The following is a 20,433-nucleotide window of genomic DNA, read 5'->3' as shown; positions in this document are numbered from 1 at the left end:
TGGCTTTTAGAAAAAGCCTCATTGCCCTATGCAATTCTCAGTCATCAAATACTTCTTTGGTGAATTTACATATTTTACAATTGTCTTTACCTCTTAGTCTTAAAAAAATCTCTCAAATGGATGCAGCCCCATCAAAGACAGAAGAATAAGCTATATCTGGTATTTGGGAATTACAATTCTTTTTGTTTCTTTGGGCACATCCTGGTGAAAGAATGGCTTCTTTCTCTTAATGATGGTTTCAGCTTTTGCCCCCTTTAAAAAATTATTAAAGCATACATGTATTTGTTTGCATATATAAATAACCATAGTAGGAGGTATTTACTATCCTCTTTCTGCTACTTATGCTTGATGAAATTGGAAAGTATTGGCAATTGGAAAATCTTGGCAGTGAGTGATTGCCTGGTTCTTAAAGTTCATTCAAGTGTTTTCTGCATTATCTACTAGACAGAACCATAGAATCCAGGAGCTGTCTGGTTTCCTGGTCCAACAACCTGCCCAATACTCTTGTTCTTAGTGTGCATACAGATAATGTCTGGGCACTGGTACTGGGGAGGAACTCCAGACTTGCAAGGTAGCCCATTCCACCTTTGGACAACTTAGATATTCTTCATTAGATTCTGCTGAAGCCTTCTGAAGCTTCCATTTATTGATCACAATTCTTTTTGTTCTGTTTTGTTTTGTTTTTTTGAGACAAAAAACTTGCTTTGTCACCCAGGCTGGAGTGCAGTGGTGCGATCATAGGGCTCAAGGCTCAAGGGGACAACCACCTCAGCTTCCCAAGTAGCTAGAATTGATCACAATTCTAATGGCAACATGTGGAAACCTTCTATGCCATTTCCCACATAACAAGCCTTCATAACAAGCCACATAACAAGCCTTCATATATCTGAAGGCAGCTTCTCTGCCCCTCTGAGTCTTTGCTTTCCCAGATTTAACATTCCCACTTTCTTCATTTGTATTTCTTATGAATCCCCTGACCAGCCTGGTCAATTGGGAATTCTAATCCTACCTCTACTACACAGTTGCTATGAGTTGAGTTCTGTTGCTTTGTTATTTTCCTTCTTTTTCTTTTCTTTTTTTTTGAGATGGAGTCTCACTCTGTCACCCAGGCTGGAGTGCAGTGGCATGATCTTGGCTCACTGCAACCTCTGCCTCCTGGGTTCAAGCAATTCTCCTGCCTCAGCCTCCAGAGGAGCTGGGACTACAGGTGCATGCCACCACGCCTGGCTAATTTTTGTATTTTTAGTAGAGATGGGGTATCACCATGTTGACCAGGCTGATCCCAAACTCCTGACCTCAAGTGATCCACCCGCCTGGGCCTTCCAAAGTGCTGGGATTACAGGTGTGAGCCACCATGCCCAACTGCTTTGTTATTTTCACACTTATATCATCAGGACATTTTGAAAAAACTATTCTGTTTCACCTTTTAGAAATGACTATTTTTCTATTTAATAAGCTCTTCAAAATCTGGTTCATATTATAAAATAATTCAAAATGCATAAAAGTATGCCTATACCCCTATTGTCAAATAAAAAACCCAGACTTAGTAAGGAGAGCCATTATTTGAAAGGATTATTGCGAAGTGGTCAAAGGGACTATTGCAATAGGGGGAGGGGGACTCTTGCAATAGGGAGAATGTTTTGACCATAATATATGCAAGCATCTCAAGAGGTAGGCAAAAAAAGGATTTTCTTTTACAGAGAGAAGTAGCAAGGCTAGCAACAACCAGGTATGGGGAAGCAGGATGAAAGCGTAGCAATATCAGATAGTAGGTTAGAGAATGTTTTACCTTGGAGCCAGCCTATTCTCAGGAGGGTTTAAGGAGGAGTTGTAGGCTGACCAAAATTCAGGGACCTGGGAAAAGGAGAGAAGCTAAAGCAAAGTTTCTGGTTAGCAAGCATTTTGTTCTGGCCGACCGGCGGGGCAAGCAGTTCAGCTAATCATTTATGAGGCAAAGAATGGGAATTTAGAATGTCTGTATCTGGCCTCGTTGCAAGGTAAGCAAGGGGCACATCTATGAGTCTTCTCTAATTTATATGGGGACTCTTGGTTTTTTTCAGTAAGCCAGTTTCTGGAACACAAAAGGGTTGGTATTGGGGACTTCTTTAAACAATGGTAGGCTGGGTGCCGTGGCTCACGCCTGCCATTCCCGCACTTTGGGAGGCCGAGGTGCGCGGATCACGAGGTCAAGAGATCGAGACCATCCTGGCCAACGTGGTGAAACCCTGTCTCTATTAAAAATACAAAAATTAGCTGGGCATGGTGGCACATGCCTGTAATCCCAGCTACTCAGGAGGCTGAGGCAGGAGAATCGCTTGAACCCGGGAGGCGGAGGTTGCAGTGAGCCAAGATTGCGCCACTCCACTCCAGCCTGGTGACAGAGCGAAACTCCGTCTCAAAAACAAACAAACAAACAAACAAAAATGCTGTTTTCCAGGATAACAGGGCTCAGGTAAATACAACATTGTCTCTATACATCACCTGATTTAAGAAATGTCAAGATTGCTTTGGCCATTTTTGCTTCAAAAACATTTTTAAAAGAAATATACACTGTAGACACAGTGAAACCCCTCAACCTATTTTATTTCCTTATCTTTCTCTGCAAAGTCAACCACTTTTAACTGGTTGCTGTGAATCTCTTGTTTTTGGTGAAAACTGGACAATTTAAGAATTCAATTTGATTATGCGACACTTGGCACAAATGACTCCATTCTGATTTGGTTTGGTCTGTTGGGGCCTACTGTGAGGCCCGCTTCAATACAGTGGCCTTCTATAATTTTTGGTTAACAATTTGAATGTAGCCATCATCTCAGTCAACTTAAGCTGAATCACGCCAGGGTCATAAAACTCCCAAATTTCAGAGTTTGCTGCAACTGACATATTTTCTTGTTCACATTCACATGGGTTGACAGGCTCTGTTCCACATCATCTTCACTCCAGGGACTGCAGCTGAAGATGCAGCACATATCTTGGACATGGTGGTCTTGTGACAGAAAAGAGAGACAACAGACCCACAGGAGGGCTTTTAAAGCTTCTGTTTCAATATCACATTATAGTCACATTTTGTTGCTGAAGCAAGTGACCTTGGCTGAGGGCATATAATCTCCCGCAGGTTAGCCTGGGAGGGAGGGGCAGCAAATATTTTCACAGGGGTACAATCAACCACACTAGGTGTCCCAAACCCTCTTTTGTTCTGTGTGCTTTTCATGCTGTGCTTAAGAAATAATTCCCTAACCAAATGCCATAAAAAAGATTCTCCTACATGTTCTGTGAAAGACTTGATTTTTACATTTGTATTTTTGACCTATCTGGAATCTATATTTGGGTATGGTATGAGATAGAGATCTAATTTTATTATTTTTTTAGTTAATCAATTACACTGCCAAGACAAGCTCGGTTGTGGAGACCCTAACCCAGTGGCACTAGAGAAATTAAAGACACACACACAGAAATATAGCATGTGGCCTACAACGGGCCATATCATTTGAGGTTGAGGTGTCACTATACTGCTATGTTTCCAGATAATAGGAACTCTTGCTGTACTTCCTACCATTTCTACCATCTGACCATTTTGTTCAGACCAGCTGAACATAGTGTGGCCGTGGCATGCAGACTGAGAGGTGCTATTTAAGCTAAATGTCCCCTTAGGGGACCAATCAATAATGATTCCATAGGAATCGTTGCACAGCACCTCTGCCTGTTCTGCAATTCAATCTTCCCAAACAAGTACATTCATTATTTCTAACTGGGTCCAATCCTGTTTACAAATAAGTTTTTGAGGGCGGTATGCCTCAATTATAGGAGTAGATTTATTATGGTAAATACTGAGACCAGAAAGCATGTGTAACTGTCATAAAGTGATTACATCCAGGCATTATTGCCAGCCAAGATTGATAAATATGCCCAATAAGTATAATTATTCTCTGTGTCAGCCCTTGTTGAAGGAATACTCATGGCAATGGTGATCACCGCTATCATAGCTACCATTAAGTTACTCATTGTGACTGGTTGTCCCGCTTTCCTCAGGTTTTCTTCCGCCATCTGTGACAGCTTCTTGATCTGTCCCCAGGTAGGTGGCTGTGTTCGACAGGTGCTGCTCGTGACAGCTGGGGTCCTTCTCAGTGTCAGTCTCAACATGGCTGTAACTGGGGGGTCCTCAGGATCCTCCCGGAATCTCTTCCTCGGCATCTGGCTCATGATAAGGTTTCAGGTGTCCTGATGATATCCAAATTGGCTGTTGATTTGGTCCTGGAGAAACACAAGCATAACCTCTACCCCAAGTTATTATTTTACCTATTTCCCAACTTTTTGTTATCGGATCTCTCCACCAAATGAGTTGTTCTGCCTCTGTCTTTGCAGCTGGTTTCTGTAGATGCTGTTCAGCTTCTGATAGCATCTTGCCTTTCGGCAGGCTCAAAAAATTTAAAATTATTAATGCTAGATTCAGTTGCATTTGGGATGTCCCATAGTCACTATTTCTCCCCCTTTTTTGTTTTTGTAACTGCTGTTTCAGGGAGAGATTCATTCTTTCCACTATGGCTTGCCCTTGAGAATTATATGTGATACCAGGAATGTGTTTAATATTCTATACAGAGAAAAATGTAGCTAGAGCTTGGCTAGTATAGTCTGGGGCATTATCTGTTTTAATAGAAGCTGGAATGCCCATCACCACCAAACACTGCAAAAGGTGACATTTAACACAGGCAGAAGACTCTCCTGATTGGCATGTAGTCCAGACAAAGTGAGAAAAGGTGTCCACACATACATGTACATAAGCTAGTCTCCCAAACAAGGGAACATGTGTGACATCCATTTGCCAAAGAGAGTTAGGTTCCAATCCTCGAGGATTAACTCCTCCTGTAAAAGATGAGGAATGTACCATTTCACAAGTTGGGCATCGCTGGATAATAGCTTTAGCTTCTTTCCAGATAATGCTGTATCTGTGTTTGAGACCAGAGACATTAACGTGTGTTAAATTGTGAAAGTGTCTAGCATTAGATATTGCATTAGCAACTAGGCGATTAGCCATTTGATTCCCTGCAGTCAAAAGTCCCGGAAGAGGTGTATGAGCCCTAATGTGAGTGATGTAAAAAGGGTGCATTCTTTTTTTTTTTTTGAGACAGAGTCTCGCTCTGTTGCCCAGCCTGGAGTGCAGTGGTATGATCTCGGCTCACTGCAAGCGCCACCTCCTGGGTTCACGCCACTCTCCTGCCTCAGCCTCCTGAGGAGCTGGGACTAGAGGTGCCCGCCACCATGCCTGGCTAATTTTTTGTACTTTAGTAGAGACGGGGTTTCGCCGTGTTAGCCAGGATGGTCTTGATCTCCTGACCTCGTGATCTGCCTGCCTCAGCATCCGAAAGTGCTGGGATTACAGGCATGAGCCACTGCACCCAGCAAAAAGGGTGCATTCTACTCTTAACTGCTGTTTGCAATTGAGTAAAGAAAGTCATCAGTTGTTCATCTGTATGAAATCATAACTGAGCATTTTCAATTAATTGTGTGGAATGAACCACGTGTGAAGAATCAGAAATCACATTAATAGGCATATCAAAAGCAGTGAATACCTCAATTACAGCTAAGCTGAAGTATAGAGCATTTGGAAAACTTTACCTTTTGATCCAGAATAAGAAGCTTTACCATTACTAGACCCATCTGTAAAAACATTCTTAGCACCTTCAATTGGTTTAAATTAGTTATTTTAGGGAAAATCCAATTAGTTAATTTCAAAAATGGAAACAGTTTCGTTTTAAGAAAATGGTTATCGAGAATACCCACAAAGTCAGCTAAATGGGTTTAATGAGTAAGACTATTTATAAAAGCTTGCTGTATTTGTGCCTTCATGAGGGACAATAATTTTTCCAGGATCATATCCATGTAATTTAACAATCTGAGTTCTCCCATTTCCTATCATAGTCACGGTTTGATCCAAATAAAGAGTTAGAGTCTGTGAATTAGTATGTGGAAGAAAAAGCCACTCTACAAGATCTTGCTCTTGAACAATAATACTAGTAGGTGAATGCTGAGTTGGAAAAATTAGCAAATCTAGAGTCTTCTCTGGATCTATTCAATTTATTTGAGCTTTATGGACTTGCTTTTTGATTAGCTGCAGCTCTGCCTGAGCTTCTTTTGTTAATTGCCAAGGCTAGGGAGACTAGGATCTCCTCTAAGGATAGAAAATAGATTACTCATGGCATAGGTAGGAATGCCTAGAGCAGGTCATATCCAATTAATGTCCCCTAGTAATTTTTGAAAGTCATTTAATGTTTCCAATTGATCCCTACATATGGCTACTTTGTGTGGCACAATGGTAATATCATTTACTAAGGTCCCCAAGTAGGAGTAAGGAGTAGCAGTCTGAATTTTGTCAGGAGCTATAATTAAGCCAGCACGAGAAATTGAATTTTGCAAGTGATCATAACATTGGAGTAATATTTCTTGAGTGGAGGCAGCACAAAGTATATCATCCATATAATGAATAATGTAACACTGTGAAAATTTTTTACGAGTAGGTTCAATTGCTTGCCCTACATAAGTCTGGCAAATTGTTGAACTGTTTAATATGCCTTATGGCAACACTTTCCAATGATAACACTTAGCAGGCTGCAGGTTGTTTACTGCAGGAATTGTAAATGCAAACCATTCACAGTCTTGCTCAGCTAAGTGGATAGTAAAGAAACAATCTTTTACATCCATGACTATTAAAGGCCAATTTTTTGTAATCATAGAAGGAGAAGGCAATTCTGGCTGTAATGTCCCCATAGGTTGTATAACTGAATTAATGCCTCTTGAATCAGTTAACATTCTCCATTTACCTGATTTTTTCTTAATTGCGAAAACTGGAGAATTCCAAGGGGAAAATATTGGAGCTATGTGTCCTTTTTCTAATTGTTCATTAACTAATTCCTTCAAAGTCTCCAGTTTCTCTTTACTTAGTGGCCATTGTTCTATCCAAATTGGCTTATCTGTTAACCATTTTAAAGGTATAGATTCTGGAGGCTTAACAATGGCTGCCATCAAAAATGATATCCTCAACCTTGGCAGGAACTTTGTCTTTCTGCTTGAAGCAGTTCCTTCAAACCTTGCAAATTTTTTCCTAGTCCCATACCAGGGACATATTCCATTTCATGCATCATATGTTGACTTTGAGGGCTATATAACTGTTCTAGAATTAGAACTTGTGCTCCCCATTGTTGTAATAAATCTCTTCCCCATAAATTTATAGGTACAGAAGTTATAATTGGTTGAATATTCCCAGGTTGTCCATCAGGCCCTTCACAGTGCAAAATATAACTACTTTGATATACTTCAAGGGCTTTACCAACTCCAGCTACATTAAATTGAGCGGGTTGAATTGGCCACGTGGACGGCTGGTGCTGTAGAGAAGTGATTGAAATGTCTGCTTCTGTATCTACCAAACCTTCAAATTTCTTTCCTTGAATAGTTATTTCACAGGTAGGATGTTTATCAGGAATTTGATTCACCCAATAAGCCGCTTTGCCTTATTGATTTGTGCTTCCAAATCCTCCTGTTCATTTAATTTCACTTTTCCCCATTTCCACATACAGCACAATCAGGAGCTGTGTTATAGGCTCTCCTGGCTCTGTTTTCCAGGGAACGGAAGTAGATATAACAATTTGAATATCCCCATTGTAATGTGAATCAATGACTCCTCTTTGTACTTGTACCCCTTTTAAATTTAAACTAGACCTTCCTAGAAGTAATCCTATCATCCCCGCTGGCAAGGGTCCACAGACTCCTGTTGGGACCTTTTGTGGGGGTTCCCTAGGCAGAAGACTCATAGCTTTTGTGCAGTATCAATCTACTGCAGTACTACTGGCTGTGGCGCTGTGGCGGGGGACAAATATTGTATAGGGGTGAGGGAGTGGCCTGAGCTGGAAATGCCCCAGTTTGGAACGGGGCCCAGGATGGGCCCTGCATGGCATTTCCTGAATTTAAAAGGAAAAGGCTCAAATGTAGCTATATTTCCCTGTTGATTTGGGGGGTGTATGCTAACAGGGAACTGCCAAGCCTCTAAATCATCCTTTCGTTTAGCTTGCTGAATTCCTGCCTGAATAGAACTGAGAGTGGTCACTCAAGGTGCTGCTCGAACAGTTACTGGGGCAACTACTTTTTGCCCAGTGTCCTCCAGAAAAGAAAGATCTGGAGGGTCAGGCCACTCTTTTTCTTCAAAATAATGAGGGGATGCAGAAGGGTAGGGATGAACCTCTTCCTCCTTTGCCGCTTTAGCTTTAGCTGGCAAACAAATCTGCTCTGTTACTTCTTCTGTTACTTCATTATACTCTCCTTCCTCCTCATCATCAGTGTGAAAAGGTTCCAAGATGGAATGAACCAGAGCCCACAGTTGTCCCATTGTTACCCTGATGCTTCCAAGCTCCCCTTCTTACTCACCATGGGGATTGCTTAAGATACTCAGGTGAAGTGATCCACCCACCTTGGCCTCCCAAAGTGCTGGAATTACAGGTGTGAGCCACCACACCCGGCCTTGATTCCAGGTCTTTAGATAATAACTTAATGATTTCAACTAACTGCCAATCAGAAAATCTTTGACTCCACCTGTGACTTGGAGCCCCTCCAGACCCTGTGCCTTCCCCATCCACTTCAAGTTGTCCCGCCTTTCTGGATTGATGTCTGCCTGTAACTTCTGTCCTCCTCAAATGTATAAAACCAAGCTGTAAACCAACCGCCTTGGGCACAGTTTCTCAGGAACTCCTTGGGCTTTGTCACAGGCCTTGGTCACTCATATTTGGCTCAGAATAAACCTCTTTAAATATTTCAAAAAAAAAAAAGAGTACTCAGGTGTCCTCCAGCTTAGTTCCACGTTCTCCAACCATCACTCCAATGACCCTTCGACCTGGGTTTGAGCCCCACGTATGGGCATCATTTGCTGAGACCAGCTCGGTCATGGAGACCCTAACCCAGTGGTGCTAGAGGAATTAAAGACACACACACAGAAATATAGCATGTGGAGAGGGAATTCAGGGGTCTCACAGCCTTCAGAGCTGAGAGCCCTGAACAGAGATTTACCCACATATTTATTGACAGTAAGCCAGTGATAAGCATTGTTTCTATAGATTATAGATTAACTAAAAGTATTCCTTACCGGAAACAAAGAGATGGGCCAAAATAAAGAGATGGGCTCTGGCTAGTTAACTGCAGCAGGAACATGTCCTTAAGGAACCCATCACTCATGCTATTGTTTGTGGTTTAAGAATGCCTTAAGTGGTTTTCTGCCTTGGGTGGGCCAGGTGTTGCTTGCCCTTATTCTGTAAACTGACAGCCTTCCAGCGTGGGCGTCATGGCCATCATGAGCATGTCACAGTGCTGCAGATATTTTGTTTATGGCCAGTTTTGGGGCCAGTTTATGGCCAGATTTGGGGGCCTGTTCCCAGCATTACACTATTGGCATTAATTGGTGGTTCCATCCTTTTTCTTCTGATTTTTACATGTGACGGGTGATCTCTGTCACATATCCAGTTCCCATGTATATGGGAACCATTCTACCCTTCCCTCTGGGTCTCCTGTAAAGGAGAAAGTGTGTTCCTGGACTTGGTTTTCTATGCCTTCTCTCCTGGCCCTGCCTTCCAGAACCAAGGCATTGGCTTCTTCAGGCACATCTCTGGCTTTGAGTCCCTGTTTCATGTCTGGCACTTAAGATGTACATTTCTAATGTTTTATCAATACCCAACTATGTAGTTAAGTTTATTTGGGGGTTATATTTTAGCCATCACTTCTATGTGTTGCTAATTGAGGGGAGTCTGAACATCTCAGTCTGCCCAGTTGCTGAAACCCATAGAAGACTCTTTAAAAATTTAAACTCTGCTATATTCAAATGAACAAAGATTTAATGATAGATTTAGTGGTAACCTGATTGACAAAAATATTTATTTTATGGAACATAAACTTTCCCAGGGAATCTCAAATTCTGTTTTGAATTTGAAACAACTAGCTTTTTTTTTAGATTTTTTTCTTAGAAGTTTATTTTTTAATTAAATTTTTTATTTCCATAAGTTATTGGGGAACAGGTGGTGTTTGGTTACATGAGTAAGTTCTTCGGTGATGATTTGTGAGATTTTGGTGCACCCATCACCCGAGCAGTATACACTCCACCCAATTTGTGATCTTTTATCCCTCACCCCCTTCCCACCCTTTCTGCCTGAGTCCCCAGAGTCCATTGTGTCATTCTTATGCCTTTGCATCCTCATAGCTTAGCTCCCACATATAAGTGAGAACATATGATGTTTGGTTTTCCATTCCTGAGTTACTTCATTTAGAATAATAGTCTCCAATCTCATCCAGGTCACTGCGAATGCCATTAATTCATTCCTTTTTATGGCTGAGTAGTATTCCATCATCTATCTATCTATATATACATATCTCACAGTTTCTTTATCCATTCTTTGATTGATGGGCATTTGGGTTGGTTCCACATTTTTGCAATTGCAAATTGTGCTGCTATAAACATGTGTGTGCAAGTATCTTTTTAGTGACTTCTTTTCCTCTGGAGAGATACCCAGTAGTGGGATTGCTTAGATCAAATGGTAGTTCTACTTTTAGTTCTTTAAGGAATCTCCACACTTTTTTTCATAGTGGTTTTACTAGTTTATGTTCCCACCAGCAGCGTAGAAGTGTTCCCTGTTCACTGCATCCACGCCAGCATCTATTATTTTTTGATTATAGCCATTCTTGCAAGAGTAAGGTGGTATTGCATTGTGGTTTTGACTTGAATTTCCCTGATCACTAGTGATGTTGAGCATTTTTTCATATGTTTGTTGTCCATTTGTATATCCTCTTTTGAGAATTGTCTATTCATGGCCTTAGCCCACTTTTTTATGGCCTTGTTTGTTTTTTTTCTTGCTAATTTGTTTGAGTTCATTGTAGATTCTGGGTATTAGTCCTTTGTCAGATGTATAGATTGTGATTTTTCTCCCATTCTGTGGGTTGTCTATTCACTCTGCTGACTGTTCCTTCTGCTGTGTAAAAGCTCTTTTGTTTAAGTCCCAGCTATTTATCTTTGTTTTTATTGCATTTACTTCTGGGTTCGTGGTCATGAAATCTTTGCCTGAGCCAATGTCTAGAAGGGTTTTTCCAAAGCCATCTTCTAGAATTTCTAGTTTCAGGTCTTGGATTTAAGTCCTTGATCCATCTTGAGTTGATTTTTGTATAAGGTGAGAGATGAGGATCCAGTTTCATTCTCTTACATGTGGCTTGCCAATTATCCCAGCACCATTTGTTGAATAGGGTGTCCTTTCCCTTCTTTATGTTTTTGTTTGCTTTATTGAAAATCAGTTGGCTGTAAGTATTTGGGTTTATTTCTGGGTTTTCTATTCTATTACATTGGTCTATATGCCTATATTTATACCAGCACCATGCTGTTTTGATGACTATGGCCTTATAGCACAGTTTGAAATCAGGTCATGTGATGCGTCCAGATTTGTTCTTTTTTTTTTGTTTTTGAGATGGAGTTTCGCTCTGTTGCCCAGGCTGGAGTGCAATGGCATGATCTCAGCTCACCAAAACCCTTGCCTCCTGGGTTCAAGTGATTCTCCTGCCTCGGCCTCCCAAGTAGCTGGATTACAGGCATGTGCCACCACGCCCGGCTAGTTTTTTTTTTTTTTGAGACAGAGTCTTGCTCTGTCACCCAGGCTGGAGTGCAGTGGTGCAATCTTGGCTCACTGCAACCTCCACCTCCCAGGTTCAAGCAATTCTCCTGCCTCAGCTTCCTAAGTAGCTGGGATTACAGGCATATGCCACCATGCCTGGCTAATTTTTGTATTTTTTTAGTGGAGACGGAGTTTCACCATGTTGGCCAGGCTGGTCCTGAACTCCTGACCTCAGGTGATCTGCCTGCCTTGGCCTCCCAAAGTGCTGGAATTACAGGCATGAGCCACCGTGCCTGGCCTAATTTTGTATTTTTTAGTAGAGATGAGTTTTCTCCATGTTGGTCAGGCTGGTCTCAAACTCCTGACCTCAGGTGATCCTCCAATCTCAGCCTCCCAAAGTGCTGGGATTACAGGTGTGAGCCACCGCTCCCAGCCCAGATTTGTTCTTTTGCTGAGTCTTGCTTTGGCTATGTAGGCTCTTTTTTGGTTCCGTATGGATTTTAGGATTTTTTTTTTCTAATTCTGTGAAGAATGATGGTGGTATTTTGATGTGAATTGCATTGAATTTGTAGATTACTTTTGGCAGTATGGTCATTTTCACAATATTGATTCTACCTATCCATGAGCATGGGATGTGTTTCCATTTGTTTGTGTCATCTATGATTTCTTTCGGCAACGTTTTGTAGTTTTCTTTGTAGAGGTCTTTTACCTCCTTGGTTAGGTATATTCGTAATTATTTTATTTTGTTTTGCAGCTATTGTAAAAAGGTTGAATTCTTGATTTGATTCTCAGCTTGGTTGCTATTGGTGTATAGAAGAGCTATTGATTTGTGTATGTTGATTTTTGTATCTGGAAACTTTGCAGAATTCTTTTATGAGTTCTAGGAGCTTTCTGGAGGAGTCTTTAGGGTTTTCTAGGTAAACAATCACATCATCAGCAAACAGTGACAGTTTGACTTCCTTTTTACCAATTGGGATGCCCTTTATTTCTTTCTCTTGTCTGGTTGCTCTGGCTAGGACTTCCAGTACTATGTTGAAAAGGAGTGGTGAGAGTGGGCATCCTTGTCTAGCTCCAGTTCTCAGACAGAATGCTTTCAACTTTTCCCCATTCAGTATCTGTTGGCTGTGGGTTTGTCATAGATGGCTTTTATTACATTGAAGTATGTCCTTTGTATGCCAATTTTGCTAAGAGTTTTAATCATAAAGGGATGCTAGATTTTGTCAAATGCTTTTGCTGCATCTATTGAGATGATTTTGTGATTTTTGTTTTTGATTCTGTTTATGTGGTGTATCACATTTATTGACTTATGTATGTTAAACCATCCCTGCATCCCTGGTATGAAACCCACTTGATCATGGTAGATTATCTTTTGGATGTGTTGTTGGATTCAGTTAGCTAGTATTTTGTTAAGGATTTTAGCATCTATGTTCATCAGGGATATTGGTCTGTAGTTGTCTTTTTTGGTTATGTCCTTTCCTGGTTTTGGTATTAGAGTGATACTGGCTTCATAGAATGATTTAGGGAGGATTCCCTTTTTCTCTATCTTGTGGAATAGTGTCAATCGAATTGGTATCAATTCTTCTTTGAATGTCTGGTAGAATTCTGCTGTGAATCCATCTGGTTCCGGACTTTTTTTTGTTGGTAATTTTTTTATTACCATTTCAATATTGCTGTTTGTTATTGGTCTGTTCAGAGTGTCTAATTCTTCCTGATTTAAACTAGGTGGGTTGTTTTTTTCTAGGAATTTATCCATCTCTTTTAGGTTTTCTAGTTTATGTGCATAAAGGTGTTCATAGTAGCCTTGAATGATCTTTTGTATTTCTGTGGTGTCAGTTGTAGCATCTCCCATTTCATTTCTAATTGAGCTTATCTGGATTTTCTTTCTTCTTTTCTTGGTTAATCTTGCTAATGGTCTATCAATCTTATTTACCTTTTCAAATAACCAGGTTTTTGTTTTACTTATCTTTTTTGTTGTTGTTGTTTCAATTTCATTTAGTTCTGCTCTGAATCTTGGTTATTTCCTTTCTTCTGCCGGGTTTCAGTTTGGTTTGTTCTTGTTTCTCTAGTTCCTTGAGGTGTGACCTTAGATTGTCTGTTTGTGCTTTTTCAGACATTTTTATGTAGGCATTTAGAGCTATGAACTTTCCTCTTAGTGTTGCCTTTGCTGTATCCCAGAGGTTTTGAAAGGTTGTGTCACTATTGTCATTCAGTTTGAAGAATTTTTAAATTTCCATCTTGATTTCAGTTTTGACCCAATGATCATACAGGAGCAGGTTATTTAATTTCCATGTATTTGCCTGGTTTTGAAGGTTCCTTTTGGAGTTGATTTCCAGTTTTATTCCACTCTGGTCTGAGAGAATGCTTGATACAATTTCAATTTTCTTGAATTTATTGAGGCTCATTTTGTGGCCTATCATACAGTCTATCTTGGAGAAAGTTCCATGTGTTGTTGAATAGAATGTATATTCTGCATTTGTTGGGTAGAATGTCCTGTAAATATCTGTTAAGTCTATTTGTTCCAGTGCATAGTTTAAATCCATTGTTTCTTTGTTGCCTTTCTGTCTTGATGTCCTGTCTAGTGCTGTCAATGGAGTATTGAAGTCCCCCACTATTATTGTGTTGCTGTCTATCTCATTTCTTAGGTCTATTAGTAATTGTCTTATAAATTTGGGAGCTCTAGTGTTAGGTGCATTTATATTTAGGGTTGTGATATTTTCCTGTTGGACAAGGCCTTTTATCATTATATAATGACCCTCTTTGTCTTTCTAAACTGCTGTTGCTTTAAAGTTTGTTTTGTCTGATATAAGAATAGCTACCCCTGCTCACTTTTGGTGTCCATTCGCATGGAATGTCTTTTTCCTTCCCTTTACCTTAAATTTATGTGAGTCCTTATGTGTTAGGTGTGTCTCTTGAAGTTTGTGTCTCTTGAAGGTGTGTCTCTAGTTGGCTGGTGAATTCTTATCCATTCTGCAATTCCGTGTCTTTTAGATGGTGCATTTAGGCTATTTACATTCAATGTTAGTATTGAGTTGTGAGGTACTGTTCCATTCATTGTGCTATTTGTTGCCTGTATACCTTGTTTTTTTTGTTGTTGTTGTATTTTTGTTGTAGGTCCTGTGAGATGTATGCATTAAAGAGGTTCTATTTTGATGTGTTTCTAGGATATGTTTCAAGATTTAGACCTCCTTTTAGCAATTCTTGTAGTGCTGCTTTGGTAGTGGCGAATTCCCTTAGCATTTGTTTGTATGAAAAATACTGTATTTTTCCTTCACTTATGAAGCTTAGTTTCACTGGGTACAAAAATTCTTGGCTGATAATTGTTTTGTTTGAGGAGGCTGAAGATAGGGTCCGAATCCCTTCTAGCCTGTAGGGTTTCTGTGGAGAAATCTGCTGTTAATTTGATAGGTTTTCCTTTATAGGTTACCTGGTATTTTTGCCTTACATCTCTTAAGATTTTTTTTCTTTGTCTTGACTTCAGATAACCTGATGACAATGTGCCTAGGTGATAACCTTTTTGCAATGAATTTCCCAGGTGTTCTTTGAGCTTCTTGTATTTGGATGTCTAGTTCTCTAGCAAGGCCAGAGAAATTTTTCTTGATTAATCCCCCAAATATAGTTGCCAAATGTTTAGATTTCTTTTCTTCCTCAGGAACACCATTATTCTTAGGTTTGGCCATTTAACATACTTCCAGACTTCTTGGAGGCTTTGTTCATATTTTCTTACTCTTTTTTGTCTTTGTTGGATTGGGTTAATTTGAAAACCTTGTCTTCTGAAGCTTTTCTGCTTGTTTGAGTCTCTGAAGCTCTTCTGCTTGTTTAAGTCTATTGCTGAGACTTTCCAGAGCATTTTGCATTTCTATAAGTGTGTCCATTGTTTCCCGAAGTTTTGATTGTTTTTTATTTATGCTGTCTATTTCATTGACTATTTCTCCCTTCACTTTTTGTATCATATTTTTGATTTCCTTACACTGGGCTTCGCCTTTCTCAGGTGCCTTCCTGATTAGCTTAATAACTATCCTTCTGAATTCTTTTTCAGGTAGATCAGGGATTTCTTCCTGGTTTGGATCCAATGCTGGAGAGCTAGTGTGATTTTGGGGGGATGTTAAAGAACCTTGTTTCATCATATTACCAGAGTTGGTTTTCTGGTGCCTTCTCATTTGGGTAGGCTCTGTCAGAGGGAAGGTCTAGAGCTGAAGGCTGTTGTTCAGTTCCTTTTGTTCAAAAGGGTGTTTCCTTGATGTAGTACTGTCCCTCTTTTCCTAGGGATGTGGCTTCCTGAAAGCCGAGCTGTAGTGATTGTTATCTCTCTTCTGAATCTAGCCACCCAGCAAGTCTAACAGGCTCTGGGCTGGTACTGGGGGTTGTCTGCACAGAGTCCTGTGATGTGAACCATCTGTGGGTCTCTTAGCTGTGGATACCAGTACTTCCTCCAGTGGAGGTGGCAGACTGGTGAAAAGGACTCTGTGAGGGTCCTTAGCTTTGATTGATTAATGCACAATTTTTGTGCTGGTTGGCCTCCTGCCGGGAGGTGGTGCTTTCAAGAGAGCATCAGCTGTGGTAGTATGGGGAGGAACAGGCAGTGGGTAGGGCCTTGGAACTCCCAAGGGTATATGCCCTTTGTCTTCAGTTACCAGGATGGCTTGGGAAGGACCATTAGGTGGGGGCAGGGCTAGGCATGTCTGAGCTCAGACTCTACTTGGGTGGGTCTTGCTGTGGCTGCTGTGGTGGGGGTGGGGTGGGGGGGTGGGGGTGAGGTTCCCAGGTCAATAGAGTTATGTTCCTAGGAGGATTATGTCTGCCTTTGCTGTGTCATGCAGCTTGACAGGGAAGTGCGGGCAAGCTGGCAGTCACAGGCCTCACCCAGTTCCCACACAACGCAAACAGCTGGTCTCACTCCCATTGTGCCCCCAGCAGCAGCACCAAGGCTGTCTCCAGGCAGTGGGCAAGCAGGACCGAGTACTTTCCCCAGGCTACCCGCCTCCCAGCTGTGAAAATAAACAGGGCTCTCCTTCTTCCCTGCTCTGTTGAGTCTGCACACTGGATTCATGCCCTCCCCCTGAGTTCTGGCCAAGAGACTTCTCCATCAGTTGAAATTGTTACAAAGTTCAGCTGGAGTTTTCCTTCTCCCTGCAGCTTTCCCAGTGCCTCCAGCAGCCCTCCTCAAGGACCCCTGTGAGGCCAGGCAGAAATGGCGTGGCAGGGGACCCAGCGAGCCCAGAGGGATTTTGCCGCTGCTTCCTCTACCCCTGTATTTCACGCAGCTCTCTAAATTGACTCAGCTCCAGGTAAGGTCAGAATCTTCTCGGATAATCTAGACCTTCAGGTTCCCCAGTGGGGCTGTGTGTTTGGGGGCAGACGACCTCCCTTTCCCACTTCCACAGTTTGGGCGCTCGTAGTATTTGGGGTGTCTCCTGGGTCCTGCAGGACCCTTTAGAGGGTCCATGGGTTCTTGCGGCATTCCTAATGTATTCCTGCAGTCCTTCTGGAGCAAAAGTTCACGATGCAAGCCTCCACACGCTGCTCTGTCTGTCCGAGTGGGAGCTGCAGTCCAGTCCTGCCTCCCGTCCGCCATGATCTCTCCTTTGCAACTAGCTTTTAAAATTAATTAAAAAGCTATCTGTTATCCAAGCTATTTTTATAGGCAAGCTTAGCTTACAGGAAAATCTCTGACTCGGTCCCTTGCTATGGTGTGTTGAGTTTAATGTCTCTGCCAATTTTCCTAATTATTTTTAATAAATTATCAGAAACAAACTGAAAGAAGCTTTCAGACTTGCGTGTGTGTGTGTGTGTGTGCGTGCGCATTGTATGTTTGTGTGTGTGGAAGAGAAGGAAGTAGGAATTAGGGAAAGAAAAGGAAGAGGGAGAGAAAATTTTGTTTTGTTCTTTCCCTTTTTCTACAGCTGCTTCCATGCCTACAATAATTTCTCTCTCTTGCATGCTTAGAGTGAAAGTGAATATTATGTGTAACCCAAATGTCTAATACCTGGATTGGCACTAACCACTTAATAGATCTAATTACACACTCTCTCCTACCAAGGGTCACGTTAGTATATTTGGGCTGCATCTTAAATCATTCCTGGCTCTAGCCTGTTCTCTGTTGTTTGGTTCCTAACCATGGCTTTAGTTCTTCCTTGGGTCTCTGCATGCTCTGCTCTAGTGCTTGATTTAATAATATGGTGGAGGAGTGTGCAGACTCTGGAGCCAGATAGTCTGGTTTCAAATCCTGACTCTGACACTTATCAGCTATAGGATCTTGGGCATCTCGTTTAATCTTTCTGCATTTCAGTCTCCTCACTTGTAAAATGGACATAAAACAAATAGCTACCTTACAGGGTTGTTGTGAGGGTTATGTAACAGATGTCCTGTTCATATCGTGTTCGATTTCTCTTCCATCTTTGTGCACACAGGCCCCAGATGAGCTGTCATCCCCCGAGCTGGTATCTGGTGTCTTTTTTTGTCAACTCCTCTCTCAGATCCTGCTTTGGACTCGAGATCTAAAAGTACCTGGGAATTTGTGTGCCCTCCCCTGTTTCCCCAGCCTTAATGAATGACTGCCACTTTAGGAATGTAAATACTCCACCTCCCTTGCTCCATAGGCATCAGGCACATGGGTTGCACATAACTCAGGCTTGTTTTACACTGGGGCTCCTGTGGGATTGAGTTATCATCCCTCTGAAGTGGTTCACACCTTTGCTTGGCCTCCTTCACTTTCTGGTCCCACCGTACCACTCCCACTCCTCCTGGAAACACTTTTTCTTAAATCACTTTCACACAAATCCTTGCCTCAGGGTCTGGTTCTGGGGAAGTCAACTTAAAGTAGTTTGTTTGAGTTAGTATCCATATAAAATGCTTTGCATATAATATGTCATATAAATATTGGCCGTTATTCTTCATGTTATTACCATGCTAGTCTAAAACAAGGTAGTTTGGTGAAGGTCTCCTTTACCTCTCTACCTCATCACCAGAATATATATTTTACTCTATTTAATAATTCATCACAGAACTGCTAATATAAGGCTGTTCGTATACTGGGTTTCTGGAAGGTTTGGGGATAACAGTGTAGGACATAAAAACTTAAAAACCGAATGATAAAAATGTAATTTACTTGAAGAGTCAAGACAACCCTATTTATTTGTAGAGGACTCTACAAACAGAATCTGGCCTTGCTTCCATTATTAGCGGTTTGTACTTCTCTCTGAGATCCTCAGTGGGGGAAGTTCCTTTAAGCCTTTGTTACCTTGTAAATCTCCATCCTCTTTAGAAAACCTTTGCCTACACTCCACAAAATCTCTCTAAAACTTAACTTTGAATATGCTCCCTTTCTTTGCGTAATTGAGGATTTGGATTTACATCCAAATGGCATGTCAGACACTAATTTTATAGCTTTTTACAATGTATCAGAGAAGAAAAAGAAAATAACTTTTAATGGAAAGAATACTTTTGAATTCTAGGACTGCATGCATTAAAAAAGTTTGGTTAGCCAGCATTTTATTTTGTAAGCCAACATCTTAATGTTCTTTTTGAAAGTGCTGGAACAGTTTGCTTTATGACTGAGACATTAAATGTCAAGCGTGAACCCATATGCTGGGTTGTAAGTGTTCAAATAGCTGTATTATGTGAAATTCTAGAAAACTGGGTTTGCCATGGAAATGTTGTTATAGTTATAACTATGGGTAGGTTACTGTGGTTGCATCTCTGACCTAAAAAAAGAAAAGCACTAAAATTCATACCCTAGGGGTAACTGACGAGGCAGAGGCAGAGATAATTGAAGGATTTCAATTATTTAAAAATAAATCTCTGTTTTTCCCCCATTTTTCAGTTATAAATTAATATAATACTTTCTGTTTTCAAATAGACTCTTACATTTATAAAAGATTTCAGTTTAGTCAAATTTTGAATGCTGATGAGTAATATTTAGCTCAGGTTTTGAAGTATGTGGTATGAAAAAGTTGTGCCGAAATATTAAGCTTTGGAGTGTCTGGGGTTATTCTGGAATTTCCTACTGACAGCACTGTAAATTTAGGGAGATAATTAAACTGTATAATACTGATACTTCACTCTGACTAAACTCCACCATAAATTTACTAAATGGTAAGAGATATTTACTGTTTGTAGTTGTAATGTGCAGGCACAGTATTTGACTTAGTTTATTAGTTCTCTATTGCTGCTATGACAAATTAGCACAACTTATTGGCTTAAAACAACACACATTTATTATCTCATCGTTTCTGTGGATTGGGAGTTCAGGCACAATTTAGCTAGTTCCTCTGCTTAGAGTTTCCCAAGATTACATCAAAGGATCAGCTGGGCTGCATTTCCTTCTGGAGCTCAGGGTCCTCTTTCAAGCTCCTGTGACTGTTGGCAAAATGCAGGCTCCTGAGGTTATAGAACTGAAGTCTTCATTTTGTTGCTGGCAATTAGCCAGGGTAACTCTCATCTTCCAGAGGCTGCCCTTTGTGCGCCTACAACATGGCAGGTTACTTCTCAAGACCAGCAGGAAAATTTTGTCCTCCAGTCTTCTGGGATGAAGTCTCATATAATGTAACAATCACGGAAGTGACTATGCTATCGCCTTTGCCACGTAATATAACCTAATAAAGAGAGTGACTATCCTACTATGTTTGCCACATTCTATTGGCTAAAAAGCAAGTCACAGTTTCCTAGTTTCCTCCACATTGAAGGAGACTTTGCAAAAGCATGCATGACTTATTGGGGGTCATGTTAGGATGGGTACACCATACTTAGTATACCCAAAACCATATCATCTGTTCATGTATCACATTGAAGTTGACTAGGGTCAGGTTTTTTCATT

General features: G+C 40.9%; 1 protein-coding gene across 6 annotated transcripts in view, besides 1 other annotated feature; it reads left to right on the top strand.

Annotated features, from left to right (window-relative positions):
• Window positions 1–20,433, top strand: part of MAPK10 (mitogen-activated protein kinase 10) — a 583,670-nt gene that overhangs the window by 124,139 nt on the left and 439,098 nt on the right. The window contains exon 1 of one of the 6 annotated variants that reach the window (NM_002753.6): window positions 16,741–16,906. The exons of the other annotated variants lie outside the window; for them this stretch is intronic. The gene's annotated coding sequence lies outside the window, so the exon portion shown is untranslated. Of the gene's footprint in view, window positions 1–16,740; window positions 16,907–20,433 lie in introns of those variants that run through there. 6 annotated transcript variants of the gene reach the window in all.
• Window positions 16,187–16,735: an enhancer, noted in NCBI's record as "H3K27ac-H3K4me1 hESC enhancer chr4:87374354-87374902 (GRCh37/hg19 assembly coordinates)". NCBI's record gives its function as "activates a minimal SCP1, AML or CMV promoter by ChIP-STARR-seq in naive H9 embryonic stem cells {active_cell/tissue: H9 hESC(naive)}" and the evidence as "EXISTENCE:reporter gene assay evidence [ECO:0000049][PMID:30033119]".

Source organism: Homo sapiens, chromosome 4 (assembly GCF_000001405.40).
Source record: "Homo sapiens chromosome 4, GRCh38.p14 Primary Assembly".
NCBI classification, from domain to species: Eukaryota; Metazoa; Chordata; class Mammalia; order Primates; family Hominidae; genus Homo; species Homo sapiens.
Note: the sequence above shows the minus strand (reverse complement) of the source record. Positions and strands in the feature narration are given on the sequence as shown.